Below are 2,045 nucleotides of genomic sequence, written 5' to 3'. Positions count from 1 at the left end.
GTCCCCTAGGAGTCAGACACTGAATGTGCTTATAATGGCCCTAAAATCACTGGCTGCAGCCCCAGGAGCTCAGGACTCTAACACTATAATAATCCTGGACCTGTAACTTCCGACCATGATGCTGACTGCTGTAAGCTTCTGGCCATGCAACTGGTTTTTGGTAACATCCCAAGATTCAGATCAGCGGGGCTTTTGAAAACCCTAAGTTTTATTCCAAAACCTGTTTGGAGACCTTTCCTGGCCTTTCTCTTTCACTCCATCCCTTCACTGGTTGAATTCTACTATCTCCTTCTCTAAATGTGAGACATACATTTTTACTCTAGGGGTACCACTTAGCTTGTAAGGAACAAAAATAAGCCTGCTGCTTTTCTCACCAGCCATTTGCCTCATATTACAGTAAATGCTTTTCGAAAGAGAATTAGTCAAGATAACAGTTTTCCTTCAGCAATAGCGTTTCCACAGCAGGCCACGCATGAGGCGTGCTCAGCCTTGTGAATTTTCGATCAGTTCTGGGAATTACATATTTTAACCCAAATAAATATATTTGGCTCAGTATCAAATGAAAAAAAACATCATCCTTAAGCTTTTCTTCCTTTTCTCTTTTTCTGCAGGAGCAAATTAACTCCACATATATTCCCCATAAATTGGGGCATCAGCTAGAAGCAAAACTCCCAATTCCCTATTCCCCAGGTGAATTTAATCTCAGTGAACTCAAATAATTAAACATAAATGGAGGTATTAACTTTGAGGCAAGTAGGAAGTTCAAAAGTATTTAGCCAATCTGGGGATTGCAGATGCAACCTGCACCTGACACCAAGCTGCATAATGTCCCCAAAACCGATTCACTGTGCTCTTCCAATGGGCTGCCCTAAAGCCTGCCTGTCTTTTCCTACCAAGGGTTACAGCGGGCTTCATGGTACCAATGGGCTTAGGGCAAACCCATCCTTGGGACAAGAGAAACAAGTCAAAAATCACATCTTTCTTGGGAAGCCCAATTAAGTGAAACTATATTTAGAAACAAATATGCATTTTCTTCCTCTCACACTTTCAGTTGCTTCTTTACAGCATCAACTACCAGATGATCCTGAATACCACTCACCCATCCATCCTGGCAAATCCCTGCTAAAAAAGCCTTCAGGACGTCCCTAAACGTATATAGTCAGTCTAGACTTCTTAGCCTGGAATTTGAGCCTTTAGCTGATAATTGACCTTAACACTATAATAAAAGTAGCTGGCACTTACTAGAGCATCTCCTGTGCCAGGCACTTTATGAATATTATCTTATATAATGTTAACCTTATGGAACCTCAGGAGGAAGGTTTTTTTGCTCTTTGTTTTCCCAAGGGAGAAACAAATCTAATGTGGTAAATAACCTGACCTAGTGAGTGGTGGGGGCTGAACTTAAACCCAGGCTATCTGACTCCTGAATCTTCCCTCGTCACCTTTGGGCTGTTCAGTTGGCGCTTACCGAGGGACAGTTCAGGCTCCAGGCGGAGGAGCGAGAATCGGGACATTCTTTCTTCTCCATCAGCCGTGAGCGAGCACAATGCAAGTGAAATGTAGCCTTTCATTTTATCACGCAATGAGCATAATTAGGAAACAATGAGGAATGACAACTAATAATGAACCTCTTTTCTTCCTAATTAAAATTTAACGACTGTATTTCTTCCATTATTGCCCAGAGCAGCAGTGTATGGTGTGTGTTAACAAGATCCTAGCTGGGCTCAAATGGCGGCCCGAGTTCTCATATGGCTTGGCACAGTCCTGCCCACGCATGCCAAGAATGTACTTGCTTTGTAGGTGGCTGCCATTCTGCCCTCATGTCCTGGCGGCAAGAGGGAAAATAAACCTGGATGGGTTGAATCGGGTCAGATTGAGGAGAGTTTTCCTGAGAGAAACGATTGGTAAGTATGATAACTCCACAGACACAGGGGGAAAGGACAGGCTTGGGGGACAAAATTGGGTTCAAATTTCAACGCAGCCAACTGCTTGCCATGTGACCTTGGACAAGCTCATTTGCCTCTAGGAGTCAGTTTCTTCATTGG

Source organism: Homo sapiens, chromosome 2 (genome assembly GCF_000001405.40).
Source record: "Homo sapiens chromosome 2, GRCh38.p14 Primary Assembly".
NCBI lineage: Eukaryota > Metazoa > Chordata > Mammalia > Primates > Hominidae > Homo > Homo sapiens.
Note: the sequence above shows the minus strand (reverse complement) of the source record.